General features: G+C 37.6%; 2 long non-coding RNA genes across 7 annotated transcripts in view, besides 3 other annotated features; one reads left to right on the forward strand and one right to left on the reverse strand.

Annotated features, from left to right (window-relative positions):
* Positions 1-12,691, reverse strand: part of LOC105372892 (uncharacterized) — a 57,069-nt gene extending 44,378 nt beyond the window's left edge. For all 6 annotated transcript variants that reach the window (XR_007066854.1, XR_001738436.2, XR_007066856.1 and 3 more), the window contains exons 1-2: positions 12,599-12,691; positions 12,217-12,282 (exon numbers count right to left, since the gene is read on the reverse strand). This is a non-coding gene — a long non-coding RNA (uncharacterized LOC105372892). The remainder of the gene's footprint in view (positions 1-12,216; positions 12,283-12,598) is intronic.
* A 272-nt stretch (positions 12,692-12,963) lies between these two features.
* On the forward strand, positions 12,964-17,460 carry LINC01717 (long intergenic non-protein coding RNA 1717). Its single transcript, NR_146914.1, has 4 exons — positions 12,964-13,010; positions 13,419-13,553; positions 14,094-14,351; positions 17,374-17,460. It is a non-coding gene; the product is annotated as a long intergenic non-protein coding RNA 1717 (long non-coding RNA).
* Positions 14,973-15,142: an enhancer, noted in NCBI's record as "experimental_2323 CRE fragment used in MPRA reporter constructs". NCBI's record gives its function as "activates a minimal promoter by MPRAs in K562 erythroleukemia cells, with activity observed for both the introgressed and non-introgressed 1:208904127 variant alleles {active_cell/tissue: K562}" and the evidence as "EXISTENCE:reporter gene assay evidence [ECO:0000049][PMID:34662402]".
* Positions 19,923-20,092: an enhancer, noted in NCBI's record as "experimental_2353 CRE fragment used in MPRA reporter constructs". NCBI's record gives its function as "activates a minimal promoter by MPRAs in K562 erythroleukemia cells, with activity observed for the introgressed 1:208909077 or rs58229061 variant allele {active_cell/tissue: K562}" and the evidence as "EXISTENCE:reporter gene assay evidence [ECO:0000049][PMID:34662402]".
* Position 20,008: a transcriptional cis regulatory region, noted in NCBI's record as "Neanderthal adaptively introgressed variant 1:208909077 (GRCh37/hg19 assembly coordinates) or rs58229061 in the experimental_2353 CRE". NCBI's record gives its function as "modulates activity of the experimental_2353 enhancer by MPRAs in K562 erythroleukemia cells {active_cell/tissue: K562}" and the evidence as "EXISTENCE:reporter gene assay evidence [ECO:0000049][PMID:34662402]".

Genomic DNA, 22,221 nt, shown 5'->3' on the forward strand with positions numbered 1-22,221 from the left:
TTCCCATTTGACAGACCAGGTCAATAAGGCTGTCTTTTTTACATTTTCATAATGATAACTTCAGTTTTAGTACTTCCATCACCATTGGACAGGAACAGGCATCCCTTGGCACTAGTACTGTGGCATGATTCTTGAGCATAAAAGTTGGCCCCAGTCAGAATAGAGGCAGTAGGCATGAAAACAATCATTCCAAGAAAGGCTAAGCAAACTTCCAGAGGCCAGTTATGTAGACAGCATCCAAGAGATCAGATCTCATAAGTGCCTCTTCCTACCTGGATCAGCAGAATGATTTTGGTTGTTGCGTGGGTTAAGGGAAACATTAAACTAGCAAGCAGGAGGTTCAGTTTCTACTCGTGAACCAACTACTAATTCAAGGCCTCAGTTTATGCATCTGTTACATGAGGAGGTTGGTTTTCATGCTCTCTAAATAATTCTCATCTCTGTCGTTCCCCTGTGACCTCTCCCATATGGTCCCAACCCTGTTTATGTGAAGTGGGTGCCAGCTTTTACCCAGGCTCCCAAGCTAAAGTGAGACTGTGCAAGGTCCTGAATGTGGAAGTTTATTTTGTAGCACATGCTATATGCAATTTCTAGCTTTAGGGACTCTAATCTTGCCACTAGAAATAGACTCACAAAACGTTTCTGCCAGCAGGCTAATGTCAAAATCATCTGAGGATAATTCACAGGCACACCTGAACAGACCATGGAGGGGTTGGCTTTCCACAACAGAATCCTTCATGGAGAGAATGCTTGGTGAAGAAGCTTCCTACAGGAAGGTTTTTGGGACCTGGGACATGCCTGCCCTGAAAGAGATGGGAAGGTTTTAGAAATGCAGCCCTGTTGTGCAAGCCTCCCCTCCAGTGCCTGCCTATTTTTATCAAATTTATTCCCATCCTCAGTGAAAAAAATGTGTGAGATTATAGAGGAAACACTTGGTCAGTGATGCTTTCCTAGGACCCATTTCATTTTGTTTTTGTTTTTTTTTCCCTAGTTAGCTTATTGTCTTAAAGAGGTGTCACCTACCTCTCTGTGTCTAGTGGCTTCCTCTGTTAAATGGGACCGCCTTTCTCAAAGAGTGCCTCAGTCAGAGTTCTCCAGAGAAGCAGAACCAACAGAGATTATATACCTATTGAACATATACAATCTCCTATTGGTATTTATAATATGTTATAAATAAATGTATATGTATATAAAGAGGTATATTTGTATTGGCTCACAAGATGATAAAGACTATAAAGTCCCACAGTCTGTCATCTGCAAGCTGGAGATGCAGGAAATCCAGTGGTGTGGGCTGAAGGCCTGAGAGCTAGAGGCTGGAGGGATAGATTCAAGGCCAAGTCTGAGGACCTGAGACCAGGAATGCTGGGGGCAGTAGATGAAAGTCCCAGCTCAAGTAGTCAAGCAAAGTCCAAGTTCAACCTTCCCTCTGCCTCCCTTTTGTTCTATTCTGGCCGTCAATAGATTGGATGATACCCACCAACATTGAAGCGGGGATCGGGGGGGCATCTGCTTAACTCAGTCCACCAATTCAAATGTCAAGTGCCAGTTTTTTTCCCAGACACCCTCACAGACACACCCAGCAATAATGTTCAACCAACTATCAGGGGATCCTATGTCCCCATTAAGTTGACACATAAAATTAACCATCACACAGAGTGAGGTATTAATTTTACATTTTAAAGTAAGATTTTGTATGCAAAATTCTTTGAAAATGGGATAGTAGAATACGATTTTAAGGTACTGTTATTACTGAGATATTAGCTTGCTCTAGAAACCCCTGGAGTAGTCTGGATCAGCGTTCGGTGCTTTTCAGGTACGAATGGAGAGATCAAAGTCAGAGATTTTTGACTTCCAAAGCAACCTGAGCACTTAGGGCTGAACTATTTAAAGCCAGCACCACAGAGGGAACAGCAAAGGTGGAGACAACCTGCAGAGTCCAGCCTTTTCAAAGGAAATAATGAGCTATTCAGTTAGCATTCTGTGGGCTTTAAAAAATGTGGCAGGGGGCGGGGGGAATGTTAGTTCAGCCACTACTACTGAAAAATGCTCACTGTTCAACTTGCCTGCTGCAATTTAAGCCGCCAAATAATTCAGAGCTGCTACAGATGCTGGAGTCAAGAGTGTTTCAAAAAGCATCAGCTTCCCCAGCTCCTAATCACATTTTAAAATAAAATTGGAGCTTTCAACACAGCCCGGGAGCTGTTCCTTATATTCTTCAAGGACTTAGACATCCACCCTGGAGCTACTGGACCTTTGTCCATGTCTGGTTTTGAATCTTCTTCCATTCCTTTGGCACTTGCAGCCTAGTAGGTGAAAGGTGGTGGGTTTAGCTGGTTTGGATTTTAGTGGGAGCCCCCCCTCTGCACTGAATTGGGAAAAATCTAGTTATCAAATACAGGAATTGGGCTCAATGAGCGTACTGCAAGCACTTACTAAGAATCACTATGACCCCAGCACTGTATTGTTGCATTAGTGGAGACACCAAAGTGCCCATGGCTTTCATAGTGAGAGGTAATAAGGGATCTTTAAGAGTAGGGAGGATTCACTGAAGGTCCTGGATGGATTTCTCCAGAGTCCCTTTTGGGAAGTTATGGCCTCAGGCCTCTGCTTCTCTGGCTATGCTGACATGTTTTTGTTCATGGTAGAAAATTGTCCTGGTATTATCTATGCCCTGTCCTTATGATTTCAGCATCTGGTCTGGACTCTCCATCTCCCATTCCTTCTTTAGCCCATCTGCTCTTATTTCCCAGCAATTTAACCTATTCATTTCCTCTTCTTTGCTTCTCTTGTTCATTCTAGTTTCATCTCTGGCTTGACTTTCTTTGAATTCCTTTCTCACCTTCTAGCCAGGGACTAAGTTCCAACCTCTCTGTGCAACTCTATCACATTGTCCATAGGGCAAGAGCCTTCTGTGCTCAGCCATTTCTTTGATATTACTTCCTTCCTGGTAGTCAGGCATATGTTGGTTAGAGTAATCTCTCATAGCAAAAAGCTAAACCTTCACTCATAACCATTTGTTGGTAGAAGTTGAAAGGTGATGACCTTTTGGGAAAAGAATTCGGGATTATATATGAAGTTTTATTAAAATTATCACAACCTTTGTCCTAAGACTTCTACATTTAAGACTGCACCTTAATACATTGTTTCTTAATAAATAACTATTTTACTAACACATAATCTAAAATAACGCGAATGTCTAAACATGATTAAACTTTTGAGCATGGTTAAGTAAACTTTTTGAAATGTAATGTAGCCTTTAAATATGTACTGCATAAATATTTCTTTAATGAAGGAATAACACTAAGGGTTGTTAAAGAGGTCAGCTGTTCATGCCTGATTTATTCCTTTTCAGTCTCCTATTGAAATAGCCATGAAAAGGCAGAAAACACAGTCTGAACGACACCAGAAACTAATGAAATCATTCAATGATAGCATTCAAACTAAAGTGAGTTTCATGAAGGAAATATTCTGGGAGGGAGAGTGTCTGAACAAGGTAGAAAAATCATTCAGACACATGAAACGAAACAACAACATTACACCTACACTTGGGATATAGAGCCCAGGCTACAACCAGATAGCCTGATCATTCTTCCTCCTGCTATAAGAGAACGGAATTTTTTTTTTTTTTTTTTTTTTTTTTTTTTTGAGATGGAGTCTCACTCTGTCACCCAGGCTGGAGTGCAGTGGGGTGATCTCGGCTCACTGCAAGCTCCCCCTCCCAGGTTCACGCCATTCTCCTGCCTCAGCCTCCCAAGTAGCTGGGACTACAGGCGCCCGCCACCACGCCCAGCTAATTTTTTGTATTTTTTAGTAGAGACGGGGTTTCACCGTTTTAGCCGGGATGGTCTCGATCTCCTGACCTCGTGATTCGCCCGCCTCGGCCTCCCAAAGTGCTGGGATTACAGGCGTGAGCCACTGCACCCAGCCAAGAACGGATTTTTGAGACACATAAAGACACTACTTCCATTGAAGCTTCTCTCATCAGTAATTATTTTGTTTCCAACTTCTAACTTTCAGCAATATAAAACTACTATAGCTGAAAGAGGGGCTTATGAATCGTGGCAGTGAAATATATTTTTACATAGGTAAGAGCTCAAAAACTATCCCACCCATGTATTCTTCCTGAAAAGGTTATTCTAAGGTACAATCTAGCTGACAGATACTGTGAAGCAAATGTGGGAACTCAAGAAAGATGAAGGTGGAGTAGGAAAGGATTGCAAGTACAATTCTATCAGTTCACATACATAGTTATGTTGAAATATTAATTTAATTGTTTTAAAAAAGTGCTAAAGTAAAAATAATCTGGAAAGTGTTATACAACAAAAATAATATCTAGTTTTATAACTTTATATTATGTTATAAAGATTGTGTAATGGTGAGCAGAAAGAAGTAAAATTGTACTAAATTCCTTATTTTACATTAATATGGGCTAGCTTTTATCAAAACTATTAGAATTATGAGAACAAAGTGATAAAAACATGTTTGACAATTCAAGAATATAAAAATGGACACAAATTTTAAATAATAGGAATAAAAAATTAATAGGGACTTTAATCGCTATCAATCAGACTTTAGTCTATAAAATCACAAATTAGTACCCCTTTCCAAGTGTTCATGCAACATTTACAAAAATTGGCCATACACTACTTTAAAAAGAATGCCAATAAATTCCAAAGGACTTATGCCAAATGTTCTTTCAGCATTTATTTTCTCTTGTCAGCCTCTGTAACCCATATCCAAGTAAAATCACACCCACTGATGGTCTTCTGAAACTCAAAGGACATACCTTGCCTCATTTCTATACATGCCATGATTCCCAACATTTATGGCTTGAGAAGCTTTGAGTATGGACACAATTTTGTTAAGAAGAATAAATCAGAATATCCACTAAGAATGTAGAAAGTTTTAAAGAAAGTTGCTTCCCACCTAACAAGAAGAAAAAGTGGAAAATCTACAAAATCGCAACTTTTCTTGAACCCATCAGAGAGTTGACATGGCAGGGAAACGAGTTAGTCTGAAGTCTAAAGAAAAACAGGCACCTTTTGGCAGATGCAGGATACAAGCCCTGGCTTATTTGGGGCAGAGGACAGATGACCAAAAGAATGTGGTGCAGCCATGAAAACAAATAAGAGTTCAGCTGAACTTTTAACAAATGGCTAAAATCAGAGTGTGAGCTAGTGTGAGAGCATAGAGCCATAGATATGAGGGAGTTTCTAACTATTTGAAGTTTCTTTGTTTTTATTTAATTTTTTTGAGATGGAGTCTCATCCTGTCGCCCAGGCTGGAGTTCAGTGGTGTGAACACAGCTCACTGCAACCTCCACCTCCTGGGTTCAAGCAATTCTGCTGCCTCAGCCCCCCGGGTAGTTGGGATTACAGGCGTGCGCCACCATACCCGGCTAATTTTTGTATTTTTAGTAGAGACAGGGTTTCACCATGTTGGTCAGGCTGGTCTTGAACTCCTGACCTCGTGATCCACCCACCTTGGACTCCCAAAGTGCTGGGATTACATGAAATCTCTTTATTAACCTCATGGGGGGTTCATTAGAAAGATTGGGAGCAGGGCAACTGATCTCAAAAAAAAAAAAAAAACTATTGTATTGCAGGCTTGGGGAAGGGGAGCAGCCATTGCTGCAGGAAAGAGGAAAGACAACAGAGCTCTGCCCAGGTCCTTCTCCCCCATGGAAAAGTAAGCTTATGTCACTAGGGGATGGCTGGCAAATACTATCATTCTCAAGTGAAGACCTATTGAGGCTAGAAGAAAACAGAAAAACTGCCTACCCTTAGAGGAAAGACAGGAAACCATCCTGGCCCAGATCTGGAGATCTATCACTAGGGGAGGAGAAGGATCACTGAGAAAGTCCACCCCTGGAAGCCAGGAATGCTGGGCTTGCCCCAAACTGAGGTTGAGCAGAGGTGATAGAGAATACCCTTCCGGCCCCCACCACACCTAGGCTATTAAGCATCAAATAAGAACAAGTAACAACAATTTACTGTGTGAAGGGACAAGATCATAGAAAAAGACCATCTTTGAGGTATAGATTCATAGAGAAAACCTAAAGCTGAAGGCCATACAGGAATATTGAAAAAAATCCACCAGCAGCCCAGACCTCACACTAAGTACAAGGAAATATTAGAAGAATTTGAAGCCAGTGTTATATTGAGGGTAACTTTTACCATGAAACTGAAATGTTGACTAGCTCAACACATGACTAAATTGACTCAACTCTGCACACTAAAAGTCTAGTAGAAGTGTTCCATTTCCAGGCACAAATACCATTGCCTCAGTCTCAAGTGTTCTGTACTCAATGTCTGGCTTTTGACCCAGATTTACAACACAAAGAAGAGCAAAACAAAACAAAACAAAACAATAACAACAAAAACACTGTCAAGAGGCACAGCAATCAACAGAACCACACACAGAGATGTATGATTCATATAAGGGAACTATTAGAGAAATAATTTAAAATAATTCTAATTAATATGTTAAAGAAAATAGTAGAAAAGGAGGACAACATGCATAAACAGATGTAAAAATTTCAGCCACAAGATGAAAATATAACAAGGAATCAAATAAAAACACTAAAATAATATTAATTAAAATGGTAAGAATAAAGAATGCCTTCTATACTCATCAGTACTTACAAGCCATTTGATTTTTTTCTCCAGCATGCCTATCAGTACTCTAGGCTGGAGACAAAAATCAAATAGCTTAATAGGAATTACCTAAACTAAAACATAAAGATAAAAAAAAAGAAAAGAATGTGTGTGAGAGACAGAACATTCAGGAGCTGTGAGAAAGTATCCAATTGTCCAATATGCATGCAATTGGGCTTCCAGAAAGAAAGGAGAGAGACCGCTGAAAATAGAAGAAAAATTTAAAAGACAATGGCTCATAATTTTTCAAAATTAATGACATACATCATACCACAGATTCAAGTTCAGAGAATACTAACATTATCAAAAACAAACAAAAAGCCTAAATGTATTATAGTCAAACTAAAGAGAAAATCTGGAAGGCAGCCAGAGGGGAAAAAAAGGCATATAACATACAGGGGACAAACATAAGAATGCATCAGATTTTTTTCATCAGAAATTACACAAGTCAAGGGACATCTTTAAAATGCTGGGGAAAAAACAATTTTTTTTTTTAAACTGTCAACACAGGACTTTATAAAGGTGAAAACATCTTTCAAAAATGAAAGTAAAATAAGAATTGTTCAGGCAAACAAAAATTGAAAAATAAGTTACCAACTAAAATGTACAATAAGAAATGTTAAACGAATTTCTTTAGGCAGAAGCAATATCATGCCAGACAAAAAATTAAATCTACACAAAGGAATGAATAATGTTAGAAATTATAAAAGAGTTATACACTGAGAGATATTAAGTTTATTACATGTCACTTTTACCTCAATTTTTAAAACATGCTTTTTTACTGATGACACTAACTTTGATTATTTGGTATTATGGACAGAATTATGTTCTCACCCCAGAATTCATATGTGGAGATCCTAAACCCCAGTAGCTCAGAATGTGATTGCATTTGGAGGTAGAGTCTTCAGAAAGGCAATTAGGCTAAAATGAAGTCCTTTGGGTGAACCCTAATTCAATATGACTGGCGTCCTTATGAGAAGAGGAAATTAGGACACAGACAACAGAGGAAAAAAACATGTGAAGGGACAGGAAACAGACAGACAGCTACAAGCCAAGGAGAGTCCTCAGAAGAAACCAACCTTGCTGATACCTAGATCTTGGTTCTAGCTTCTAGGATTCTTATAAAAAAAATATGTTGATTAAGTCATCCAGTTTGTGGACTTTGTTATGGTAGTCCTAGGAAACGAATACATATACATGTAAAGGGGTGATTGCCAGGTTTCTCTACACTTGTTATTTTTCCATTTGTAGATATAAGTATCATGTGGAGAGATACTTCAAAACTATGTAAATATCTGTATCATACTTTTGCCCATGATCCAAAGCCAGGTCCTACTACACAATGGACTCCAGAAATAATAATGTTTGCACATAAATGAAGATTTGACTTCCTATATCAATGTTTCTTGCTTGCAACAGCTTTCCAGCATCAGTGCCCTCCTACTAAACCCAAGTCCTACTTCACCCTAACACCATGTTCAAGGAAAACTAAGGGTGAATAGGCCTGCACTGCTGCCTGGCTAGGAGAGAGTTCAACCCTTATAAGGGAAAAAGTTAATACTCTGATGGGCCTTTATAACTTCAAACACTCTGTAGAAGTAATGCATATAACTGATGTCTAATTGTTCCTTTCACTACTGCAAATAGGTCTGGTATTCTCTGAAGCACATCTCAATATTTTTCTGCACTTCCATATTTTGATTCAGATATTTTCATTCTCTTTCAGTTTATCTAGTATAAATCTTACACTGTTATTTGCTATCACTTTAGCCTAACCTATGCCAGAAAACATTTACTAAATATGACCATTTATTCTAGAGAGAGATAAGTTAATATAGCTTGTATGCTATGTGTATCAGTTCTCTTTTTTCCACTGAGATAGCATAAGAATGAGGAAGTCTTTTACTTTTTAAGAATTGTGGTTGAGCAACAGAAAGAATGTACTATCGAAGCTGTGAGACTGTAATATATGAACAATGTAGGACAATACAGATAAAAAAGTGTTTCAATCAGAATTGAACCAGGAGTCACATATTTGAGTTCCAGCATTAACTTCATCATTATTAATTGTATAATGTTGGACCAATCACTACACCCCTCTAAGCCTCAGTTTCCAATCCATAAAACAGGAAAAGTAATAACTCTGTTTGCTTTCCTGTAAAATATGTGATGGGAAAAGAGGGATTTACATCATGCCCAAGGTGGTTTCAGAGACCAAAATAATGTCCCAGCAGTGCTTGGAAAACAGTCCAGTGCTATATTTTTTAAAAATTTAATTTTTACAGGTATATAGTAGCACATTATGAGGTATGTAAGATATTTTGCTACAGGCATACAATGTGTAATAATCACATCAGGGTAAATGAGGTATCCATCACCTCAAGCATTTATCATTTATTTGTGTTACAAACATTCAAATTATATTTAGTTATTTTCAAATGTATAATAAATTAGTGTTGATTTTATTCACCCTGTTGTGTTATCAAATACTAGATTTTATTCATCCTATCTAACTGTATTTTTGTACTCATATACTAGTTCAGTGCTATTTAAATGAGAGAGTTTTCCGTGTGAATTGTTGTTGCTGTTTTTGAAATAGAAAGCAGGGTCTCACTGGTGTATAACCCAGCTTATGGTCAGGGCATGGATTCAGGCTTCTCTTTCTCTCTTCTAATCTCAGAATTCAAGAGGAGAGAAGAGTCCCAGTGCCTAAGAGAGACCCTGAGTTCTATTTCCCCATTCCTAGCCCACAGCCTCCGGTTCACACACCAATGCTACAGGAGTTTTTTTCTCCCCAGGGGCACAGTGGACAGTGACTAGAGGGGTCCCCTCCCCAACTTCATGAAGCATAACTCATTCTTGGGTGGGCTATTTTCCTCCCTGACCATTAAGCCTGATATCACAAACCAACACAATTTGTAATTAATTTAAAGGTTAAAAGCTTTAAACCAAGCAAGAAGCAGTATTCACAGTATGTGAAGATGCTCAGGATTAAAATGATTTGTGTAACAGTTCCCCTACTCAATTAGCCCTGTTAGGTTGTAGCTACCACCTAATAAAAGTTGAAAGCAAGGGCTTTCCTAACACTGCATTCACTTTCAGCCCAGCAGGAAAAGGCATCTTTCAGCTGGGAAGCTACTGAGTTACAGCGGTTGCTTTGGGTAATGTTATTCTAGTACATTCTAACTCAGAGGTGTTAGCTATCTTATGCTAAAAAAAATGTTATAAGAGGATATTTAAGAAGTCTATAAATCAGTATTCATTGTGGCACTAAAGATGCTAATTTTTAAGGAGGATAATGTATGGCATTTTGCTAGAATTCTATATGACCATTTTACTGCAACAGAGTTGTGGAGATAAAAAGAGTTGTTGCATTCATTGACTCTAACTCTCATTTATGAAGGGAAATGCACTTGCATATCTTTTACCAGAGGAAATGTAATTGTTATTCATGTTGAGAAAGAGGTTTATTAGCAATTTTATCATAAAGATTCAGATAGAAATAAAGACATTTGGGTTATTACAAGATATTAATTATGAATGTCAGCCAACTACAGTACTAGGTTTCTTTACGGTATAAGATGCAAAATTATCTGCTGATTTGGTGGCTGCTTATAAACACAGCAGCTTTGGTCTGAGTTCAAGATTTTCATCACATGTATAAATACCCATACAGTGTTCAGATTATGCCTGTATGTTTCTAAGTATGAGGGATCCATAGCCAAGATTCCTTAATTATAAGCTGTTTCATAAAGTTCCTTGTTTTTGTTTTCCTTCTAAGTGACAATAGCATTTTAGAGTGACTATTCACATTTATTCATTCAGCAGGCATTTATTGAGTGATTTCTGTTTCTAGGAACTCTGTTTAGATCTGGGAATAAATTTATTAACAACAGAGACACAGTTTTAGCCCTCATAGGGCAGGAAAGACAGACAAGGAAATTGCAACATGCTGTGTTACTTAGTATGATATGGATGTGCAGAGCACTAGAAAGATTCTAGAAGGGGCATCAGACACAGGTTTGGGGGTGGTCAGAAAAGGTTTCAAAGGAGGATCTACATACAAGCTGAGACATAAAGGGTAGATGATAATTGGTTAGGCAAAGAGAGAGTAGAAAACTATTTTAGGTGGGTATTAAAATGTGAAGAAGGGTCTGAAGGGCAGAAAGAGTCAAGCAGCAGCTTAAAAACTGAGGTTCGATATGTTGGGGGCATTGCGTTTGAGTATGGCCTGGGAAGAAATGAGACTGATGGAGATAGGCAGGAGTTGGTCTAATAAGAGAGTACATATCCTGTTAGGCGGTCTGTGTTCCATCCTATGAGTTTGAAAGATTTTAAGCAGGGTAGTGAAATGATCAGATTAGCTGCAATGTTGGAAATGGATTGGAATGTGACAAAACTAGTAGTAGTTAGGAGGCTATTGCAATAAACCAGACGCAAGTGGGAAATTTTGTGGCATAAAAGATTATGGCTTTTATTTTCTGCATGAACTGGAAAGAGAATATATGAGAATGAGATGAAAGGAGAGATGGTGTTCAAAGATTTGAGAATAGTAGGGAACAAATTGTAACTAGGGAAACAGAAGGATTGGTGGGCAATCCTGAGGGTCCCACTGGTGATGCAGAATATAAATTTATAGTGGCATCTGTATCATTGCATGATTTTCTTCATGATATTCAAAAGTACATATGTAATACGTTGCTAGTGGGCAGCTGAACTCATGGATCAAAAGACAGGAAGAAGAGATGGACAACGGAATCTAAACTGAATAAGAAGCTAAAAAAATACAAAATGGGGCTAAATGATAGGATGGAAATAGTGAGGTCCAGGATTCAAGACCTGAGATCAGACAACATGGAAGGATTAAGAGGAGGGCCAGCTAAAGGAATGCATAAGGCATTGATCTATCACAAAGGTTAGCACATCACTGATGACTTAAATGCCACTGGAAATACACTAGATAGACAAAAATTTTAAATTTTAGATTCTTTTCGGGGAGAATCCTAAATGCGTTTTGAACCTCTGCGAGTGAGAAGTCTGAAGGGTGAAAGGGATATAATCCATTTCTGCTTATTTCCTGTGTCTCTCCTTTGTCTTTTGGTCTCTTCCTGTCTGAGATGCTAATTACGGTTTATGAATCTACAGGGCCAGGGCTGGTACAGGGAAAAAAAGATAAGGGAGCAAGAAAAGTCTTACTGGACTAATATTATACTAAGATGACATTAGTGCTCTCTGAGCTTGGCAGATAGATAGATAGAATGGATGGATGGATGGATAGATAGATAGACAGACGGATGGATGGACAGACGGATGGATAGATAGACAGATGGATGGATGGACAGATGGATGGATAGACAGACGGAGAGATGGATGGATAGATGGATAGAGGGATGGATAGATAGATAGATAGATAGATAGATAGATAGATAGATAGATAGATAGATAATTGAGAGAGAGAGACATATATATCTATATATAATACTGATTCCTTCTTCCATGGGATGCTCGGTGGAATTTTCAAATATACCTCCTCCCCATCATAACACTGAGGATCTCTTACCTCCAGTTCTCTTAACATAGTCAAATGTATCTCCTCTTGTTAGCCAATTATGATTCCTTCCCTCATCTGTGAACATCCAAAGGTACACATTCAACCTCTTACTGCAGAGATCTCATTGCACCTCCAGGAGTCTCCTGGGAAATATCACCTATTGTTCATGTGGCCATATCTAGTTCATGAGCAAATGCACAATCTGGGTTGGCTGTGATAGCCATGGAGGTGTTCTACTCAGATTTCCCTTAAAAGAAACTGCTGTGACTAGCATAGCTGAGCTGCTGCAACTTTGTATTCATTGAGGAATTTATCCCAGGCCATGCTCTCCTGGGCTACTCCTGCACAAAGACTGAGCATGGCCAGGTTACTAGAAAAGAACCAGTACTACCTGATGCAGAATTTGTCTAATGGGCAACCTCAGCTCAAGGGCTCTCCATCGGCCTCGCTGAGGCTTTCTCAGAACTAAGCAGCAACCTCAGGCTCTTCCTACTAAATTCTTCCTTCTCTCTCTCCTTTCACAGGTATTAGACATGGGGGAAGGCTCTTGTTCTCTGTTCCTTTGTCCTTCATAGGTGGTTTTCCATAAATATCTTGCACATTTGAGCCCATCTTGGCATCTGCTTCTTGGAAGACCTTAATGCCATAGTTACTTCCCAACAGTAATTCTACTTATCCTTTAGAATTCACAGGCTCTACTGAATTCTTTTAGAATTCAATCCATTATGGACTCATTCTCCTTACCAAACTCTACAAATAATCTTCTGTCTTAAGAGCACCCAGGATGTGTTTTCATTGGTACGGTAAGACATGCAGACATGGAAATGACCATCATGGAGGAAGAAGTTTGTTATACTCACAGATTGCCAGACACAGGAGGCACAGTAGACCATGCAGGGCCACAGGGAAATACTAGGGTTTGTCAGAGGCAGAGGGAATGAAATGGAGAAGCAGCCAAGAGTCTTTATTGTGGTTTCTGCAGGAAAGAGCCATCAGGAAGGGTAAGCAGATTTAGGATTAATTAGTTTAAATGATTTCAGCAGGCTGGTGTGGAGAGGCTGTAGCTGTCTGGCCCAGGCATGATTAGGGCAGGGGAGTAGTGCCCCAGAAGATGAGAGTCTGATAAAGAAGGCACTTGAGGGCATGAGCTCTAGATTTGTGGGTTTGCGTATGCAAGGCATGGTCCTAATTGAATTGTTTGCTACCTCTAGGAATTAGCTAGCCCTGGGAAAGACAGTCCCTCCAGAGTTAGCAACACCCCAAGATGTCAAAGATAAAAATGCAAAAATTAAAACTCCATGATTAACACAACTTTGAAGTCCTTCTCACTTGTCTTTAGATGAAGGGTAAGTACTCTTCCACATCTATTCCATTATGTACATGTGAGTAAGGGTGATGGTGGGGGAGAGAAGCTCACAGCATTTCAACAAATTATCTCTCTATAAAAGTCCTTTTCAATTTCTTTTGGCCTCTCCAATCTCTTTTATAGACTGAATGTACAGGTAATAAAAATATGTTATTTTTTCCATGAAACTGATTCTTGGACAGCTTCTATGCAAATCCCACATATGTGGTCTAGAACTTCTCTTTGCTCTTGAGCCATACTTGACAGAGTCCCATTTTTATATCCTATTAACACAGCTTTACTCTTGATTTCCCTATATCAGGTATGCTGTTTTCCACTTCTTTGAAAATCTTGCCTATTTTCAAAGTTTCAACTAAAATGTCACTATATTTCTGAAGATTCCTTCAACTGCTCCAGCCAAATGTAATTTCACCTTCCTGCAAGTTCTCACAGATCTTTACTTCTCATTTTCATCTCTATATCAGCTTCTCTTAGCACTTGTACTGTTTGTAAGCTTGATTTTGTTTTGGTTTTGTATTAGGCAACATCATTGCAACAAGTCACACTTTGAGAACTCAAGAGAATATGTTTGTTCTGAAAATCCAGGAATTATTGCCAACCCATGGTTGTCTCCATATGTCTTGGGAAAAATAGGAAAAGGATTTTTTGAGTTGGTGATTTGAATCCAAGACACAAAGATTCAGGCTCTGGTAAAAAGATTGTATAGGCTATATTGGCTGACATAAAAGGTAAGAGCAAGAATGCAGAGGATTTCTATCAACATAAAGAAGAGTCAAAGGTATGCGACTTGTTTGAGTACAAAGATTCTGAAGCAGAGGTACTGCAACTCCTTAGCATTTGCAGAAGCAAAGACTTGACAGTGAAAATTAATTGTCATAAAAATTTTTAAGGTAAAATAAAAAGAATACTGGAACACTCATAAAGGCAAAATTGCTATTTTAAAGTTATCCTAAAAGATATCAAATATTTTGATAAAGAGCTAGAAATTCAGATAATATGGTATAGGTGTAGTGAAGGAAAAAAAGTCAATGCACTACAATTAAGAGTTTAGAAAGAGATCTAAGCATATCTGAGACCTTGATATATGATTAGAGAAGATATATAAAATCAGTTGGGACCGAAATGATGCTGAAACACTTGTCTTTTCATATAAAAAATAAAATCAAATTAGATTTTCATTTCAACCAAACTCAAAAACAAACTCCAAATGTCTATATGAATTAAATGTGAAAAAATATTTTAAAATATTAGAATACAATATAAGAATAAATAGCAAAAGCTTGAATAGGAAAGCATTCTTAACTACAATAATAAAATAGAAATCTTCAAAATTTCTGTGGACCAAAAGATACCATAAACAAAATTAAGTTATATCACAACCTAAGAGAAAACATTTACAGCATATATAGCAGGCAAAACATTAATATTCAAAATATAATAACTTTACAAATCAATTTAGAAAAAGACAAATAGGAAAATGAATGAAAGATACAAAAAGGCAATTCATAGAAGATGAAGCCCAAAGAGAAGATAAATATTTAAAAAGTCCCACCTACCTTTAATCAGAATTAAAATACTAACAAGATACTCTTTAGCCCCATCAGGTTGGCAAAGATATTTATGTCAAAGGTACCAAACTTTGGCAGGGAAAAGGAAAAATGATAACTCTCAAACACTGCTGGTAAAAATATAAATTGGCACAACTGTTTTGAAGTACAATTCAGAAATATCTAGTAAAATTGCATATTTGTATAACCTATGACCTGGAAATTCTACTTTTAAGTATATACCCCAGAGAAATTCTCCCTCATATGCAAAAGACGCTATCTTCAAAGATAGTCATTGAAGCATTGTTGGTTGTAGTATAAAAAAAAAAAAAACCAAAAAGTAGAAAAACTAAAATATCCATTAGGCAAAGAAAGGATAAATAAAGTGGTACGGGACATATTATACAGTAATTAAAAGAGATAAGGTAGATTATACCTATCTACCTATCTATATAAAATGATGCAGATCTGCTCATCATAATATTGACAGAAAAAGCAAATTTCAGTATGATGTTTAATGTATGATATAAATTTTATAAACTAAAAATTCAGTATGATGCTGTATATTTTTTATGAATAGATTCACATGCAGTTAAGGTTAAAAATATGGATTTGATACATACATATCACTGTCACATTCACTGTCACGTTCATGATAGTGTCAACTTCTGTAAAGAAAGGAAGGACATTGGAAGACCAGGAGAACTGAGAAGACTTTAATTTTAGCAGTGACATATTCTTTTAAAAATAAATTTCTTAATCAAATGTGAAAAATATTTTAGTGGTAAGCACAAAAGTGTTATTGTATCACATTCAATTTTTTATATTTAACTTTTTAAAACAATAACTTTAAAAGCTAGGAAGAAAAAGGGAAAGAGGGAGGAAAATTAAAATAGCTTCTAGGGAAAATTACAGAAAAGAGAAGTGGCTTAAGGATTGGAATCTATATAAGAAAACTAGATAAAGATACAGGCACAAATATCACTAAAATTTTCCTTGAGTTCTTGATTATTTCCAAGAGTAGTTGGTTATCTGCAGACATATCTAAACTGATTTCCTAAATGCATAGTTTTTGATTCACATATCTGTCTGTCACCCACAGCATCTAGCACAATGTTTTACACATAAAAGGTGATATCTAGAAGTATGTTGACTGAATCAAATAAATCACCTTCTCATCAGGTTTCCCAAAAGGTGAAAAGATAATTTCCCCAGTCACTTAGAGGATTAGTTGCCCTTTTTGAAAAAGAGAAAGACAACCAGGAGAATGGCCTGGAATGGTGGACATTTTCCCAGAATGCTTTGAGGAGTCCCCACCTGCATGACAGCTGCTCACACAATGGATCTTGCAGACAAATAAAGAAAATTAGCAAATGGGGAATGGGCCAAACCCTCTTCAATGCAAAGGGAGTAATAAAGATATGCTGTCTAACTCTTCCTGCCATAGATCAGTAACAAAATCTTATCTATGAATCACCAATCCTGGGTGGGAAATGCCAATCAACATTAATTTGGTGCTCTGAATGTCCTGGCAGGAGGGACAGGAGGCTATCCTGCTAAATCATATTTAAATTAGCCAAGGTGGGCAGCTGCCTCACAGATAATGCTGGTGGAGAACAATGCAAGACAGATGATTTACCAATTAAATGAATCAAGCTTCCCAAACACTGATGGCCTGAGGACTAGGGTGCCATGTGTTTCTGCCAGACACAGATCTGTTTCCACAACCAAATTAGGCTTCAAGTTTATAACTCATATGTCTAACCCTCCGTACTTTGTCTCCCGCCCCCTACACACATACAAAGTAAATTGCATGTTAATGAACAAAGCTCAGACTTTCTCCATTTCTCCACTTGTCAAAATCTCTTTCACTTTCGCAACCAACAGTAAATCACACGTTCTGCTTGAACAGGCACTCAGACAAAACCCCTGCCAAATGGCTATCATAGGAAAAAGGTCTTTGTCAGAGCATAGGCATTGTGCTTTTAAAAGGGAAAGATAGCCCACATGGAAATAGGAAGGCTTGCTCTGGCTATCCTTTTAAAAATACAACGTGTCGGGTGCAAACTAGAATTCAAAACTGAATTCAAGCACCAGCTTGCAAGGGAGAGCTAAGCCAATGAAAAGCTTAGGGGATTATGTAATAATAATAAGTAACATTTAGGTAGAAAAGTTTGCAGTGTGCTTTATAGTATCTCTTGTTTAGTCTTCAGAAAAGTGTTTAATATTTTTATTATAACCTTTGTTTTACAGATGGAGAATAAGAGAAGTTAAGTGGTTTTCCTAAGATCACATAATTAAGACTTATTAATAAAAAGTTTGATGCTCTTTCTATTATAACATAGTGTCTCTCCAAAATATTTTCTAATTCTGAAATTCTGTGAGTATAAATCTAAATAGCACGAAACAATGGAGAGGCTATTCAAGACCATTTATAGTTCCTATCACAAAAAAAGAAAGAATGAGAAGACAGGAGAGAGCAAAGAATAAAACAAAAACTGAAACAAAAAATAGAAACAGAAAAGAATAAAAAAGAAAACAGAGCATTAAAAATGCATTCAGAGATTAAGAGAGATTTGTTCACCTTGATTTTTGCTCAAAAAGGCAGTCACACACCAATTCATTTCTTTTTCTTTTTTTTGTAGAGACATAAAAGGCACACAATGAAATCTTAATAAATGTATTGGATGTTGCAGCATTAACTGATGAGCCAGACAATGTAAAGACCTCAGACTACCAAATGTTTTGAAAGACGAATAGTGAATGTGAAACTGTGAACCAAAATAGATTTTTAGAATCCTTGAAAAAATAGAGCTAGAGAAAGTCTTTGAGACCATTGATTGCAAATATTTGAGTTTACAACTGAGCAAATGGAGAAAAGAGAAGTGACTCGTCAGTCCAACAAGTGGCAGAATCAGAACCAGACCCCAATGCTTGGGTCTTCTGTCCCTCCTGGCACCAAAGTCACCTATCATAAGTAACTTGAGTTTCAGAGGGGAAGGAAAAGACTACAATGTCCCAGCACTGTTCCAGACACTTTTTAGGGGACTCCAAGACACCTTGTGTAATGCCTATTTTAAGTAGCTGGAAGATTCTATAGCATGGGAAAAGCCCACTGAAGGCAAAAGTAAACATTACCTATTGTGGTCCTGGAAAAGAAAATCATCTCTCATTTATCTCCTGGAGCTGTTTGACGAACTTGGTAAATATATGAACGTGGAAAGCCAATGGGTATACTTTTGTAAAAATCTTTGACACTTTTGTCAATTTTCTAGAAGATGTTTTAGAGCTTATTAAGCATAGAATGAACAAGGGAAAACAGCTTCATTAATATTGTCTTTAAGCCAGTACCTTACACTTATACCTTATATATACTCATATAAGACATATAAAGTACCTCATACAAGAAACAAAAAGTAGATTTTAAAAAACGCTTTTCCTGTATGTTACGTCAATAACAGAGAAACCTCCAGGATATTAATTTGGGAATGTATCTAATATCATTTTTAAGAGATTATTTTGAAAATGGCATACAATGAAGGCAGGTGGAGCTAAACCATTCCACGTAGTAATACACCAAGCTGACGTGAGTAAATTACAGGCTATGAGACTGAGCAGATATCTAGCCTGTGAATTTCCATGTGAGCTTGTACAGGAAATGCATTCAAAGAAAGAAAAATAAATACACATGATACCTATATGATGATGGGTTCACTATCAGTTACAATTTGTAATAGGGTTGTTGGGACCCTTGCATTCATTTTCTGCAATATCTGCTCCACATGCTGATATTGTGGCCAAAAGACCAGCAATTACCTGGACATGATCAGAAAGGAGGCTGGGAATGTACAGACATTATTATCATTCTGTATACAAAACCATGATGTGGCTGCAGCTAGAATGCTCCCTGTAATCTCAATGCATACTGCAAGAGATATTGTGTGACAGTGCTGAAGAAATTCCAGAGAAAAACATGGAAATAAAGAAAAGGAATTAGCTTGGACTAACCTAAACTAACAGTTTGTCTATAAACATGAAGGTGACAGGGATTTAGCAAAAAACATGCAATGTGAAAGGGACAAATATTGAAATATAGAAGTAGGTTTCCTCTCACACACTAATTTTTAAACTTGAATGAGAGCATTTCAAGGAAATAAAAGCATTAGCTCTGTCTCTGCTACTAACTAGCTAATTGACCTTGAGTAGTTTCTTTAAGCTCTCTGGACTTCACTTTCTTCATCTCTCAGATAAAGGGATTGGAATAGATTAAGTCAAATCCAATGCATCAAGGTTTTATTGAGCAACTACTATGAAAATACTGAGAGCTAGAAAACTATATGACACTTGGCCTGTGCCATTTAAAAGCTTACACCCTTTTCATAGGAATAGGATGTATTCTAATTGCTGCATTAATACAGATTAGGATGTATTAAACATCACCCAGAGGTACTACATGCTGACATGAAAACCTGGGGGAGAACGATTGCCTAATAAAGTGATCTCTAAAGTCCAGGACCATGAAGGCAACAGACAAGTCTTTGTTTTTATTTGCAATACCAAACTCAGTGACTGCTTCTTAGAAGGAACTTGATAAATAACTGTTGATCATAGAATGTAGCGTCTAAAATAAAATTTGAGAGATGAGTAAGATTGTTTTTCTGTCAAAGATGAATTTGAGAAAATCACTTACGTTTAAGGGATTTACATAGAAAAATATTTAGATGCAAGGACGTGTAAAGTATTTCTAGAAGGAAGAATGGCATGATTTGCCTGTAGTATAAGGTATTGTGACAGAATTAGAGGCTGGTGTTGAAAAAAATAGGATGGGAACACATAAAAGAGGTACTTTAATTCCAAGGGCACACATTTATATCTGAATCCATTTAATGATTCTAACCAAAAGATCAAAATTGATTAATATCTAGTTTTTTGAAGATTTTTTTGAAGATGGTTTAGAAGAGTTGAGACTAAGAGTCTATTTAAATAGCAAAGTTAGTGCTTCGTAATCCCAAAATTAGTGTTGTGGAATTTATTTATTTAATTTATTCATTCATTAATTCACCAGGGATTGAATGATAGCCTCCTATGTATTAATCACCATGCTAAGGGTTGAGGACTCAGATATGAATGAGAAGTGGTTGTTGACTTTAAGGATCTCAAAATGCATAGACTTGTAGTGAACAAGTTTTATTGTTACCTATGTAACATCTATTCTCCTTTTCATTCTCAACAGTGCCCTGGTTTTACTTTGGGAGCCACCTTTCTCTTTCAGGTGCTGTCTCAGTGGAATAGTCAACCAATGTATCCTACATTTTGGACCAGCAGAAGGAAGTAATGAGAACAGAAAACAAATAAGAAGTGAGTTGGAGGGAGAAGGAGACTTTAGCATCTTCCTGAAATCAGGAAGAAAGTTTCAAGAATAAAGTAATCCATAGGGTCAAATACTGCAGTAAGTTTAATTAGGATGAAGACTGCAAAGATGGTATTAGTTTGGTACTTAGGACATTGGTGACCTCCACAGGTGACTTTCAGGAGAATTATCTGGGGAACTTGTTGATAGAATTTGTGAATCTCCACCTTTAGGGATTCTGATTTAGAAGGAGTAGGAAGAAGGCCTTAGGATCTCCATTTATAACAACCACTACTGATTATTTTGAGGCAGGTAGCATACAGACCACATTTGAAAGAAACACTAGGTAAGTGTGATTTTCATTCAAAGGACAAAAAACATAAAGTTACCTAATTCAGGGACCATTTCAAAGACCAAATCAAATCAGTAGCCTGGCTGATCTGATCGACTGCGCAGAAACTAGCCATTACCATGGCAAAGTGGGGAGGAACAGTCAATAAAAAGCAATTGATGGCCAGGCGCGGTGGCTCACGCCTGTAATCCCAGCACTTTGGGAGGCCAAGGCGGGCGGATCACGAGGTCAGGAGATCGAGACCATCCTGGCTAACACGGTGAAACCCCGTCTCTACTAAAAATACAAAAAATTAGCCGGGCGTGGTAGCGGGCGCCTGTAGTCCCAGCTACTCGGGAGGCTGAGGCAGGAGAATGGCGTGAACCCGGGAGGCGGAGCTTGCAGTGAGCCGAGATCGCGCCACTGCACTCCAGCCTGGGCGACAGAGCAAGACTCCGTCTCAAAAAAAAAAAAAAAAAAAAAAAAAAGCAATTGATTTATTGTTCATATGTAAGATGAATGTAGACATGGATTTTCTTTCAAGTGATTTGGATGAAAAATAAAAGCTGTCTAAGCTCAAAGGAAATGTATGTTTTTATTTTTTTTTAAATAACTTGATTTCCATTACTGTTTTAATAAAATGGGCATAAAACATAGAGCATATATTATATCTCAGGTCTTTCTTCTGCCACATCCTTGATCGTACTGCTCCCCCACTAAGAAGAGTTGGAGAAAGATTGATTAATTCCTTATTTTCATTGTTGCCACACTCCCCTGCATATCTTGATTGCTGTTGGGACTGGAACTAAGAAAATGACACCAGAACAAATGTTGTTGGGGCGTTTCCAACCCATTAGAATTAGTAAATATTTGAAATCTTGCTTGACAGCTGGTTCTCGGGAGATAGCATCTCCCCTTCCGGATTTAACTAAAAAAGTAATTTTTTTTTTTTTACTCATACAGAGACCTCATGCTTTCAGTGTTTGAGCATTAAGATTGATTCATTGAGGTGGAAATTTTCAGGAGTTCAGGTTATCTGGGAACACCTCATTAGACAGAACAAAATCCTTATAATCTCAGATACTAGAAGACCTCAGTTCTAGGCCCTGCTCTGCCCTGAATATAACATGTAATCTGGGAAAGAGTTTTAGCACTTCTGCTATCATAGGTGATTCTAGACTAGAAAATGTTAGTGCTAGATAGAACCTAAGAGATTAGATTATTTGGCCCACTCGTTTTGTTTTAAAGTTGAGAAAACAAAGGGGCTGACCGGGGAAATGACTTCCCCAAGGTCAGTTGGTTGATAGTGGCTCTTGCCAAAGCTGAAACCTAAGCACTCTGGCTTCCCAATTTTATCTTTTTTCCACTGAACCTTATAGCTTTAGGGTATGCACCAGGAAGGCACAGAAATTTCCATTTT

This window comes from Homo sapiens, chromosome 1 (assembly GCF_000001405.40).
Source record: "Homo sapiens chromosome 1, GRCh38.p14 Primary Assembly".
Lineage (NCBI taxonomy): Eukaryota > Metazoa > Chordata > Mammalia > Primates > Hominidae > Homo > Homo sapiens.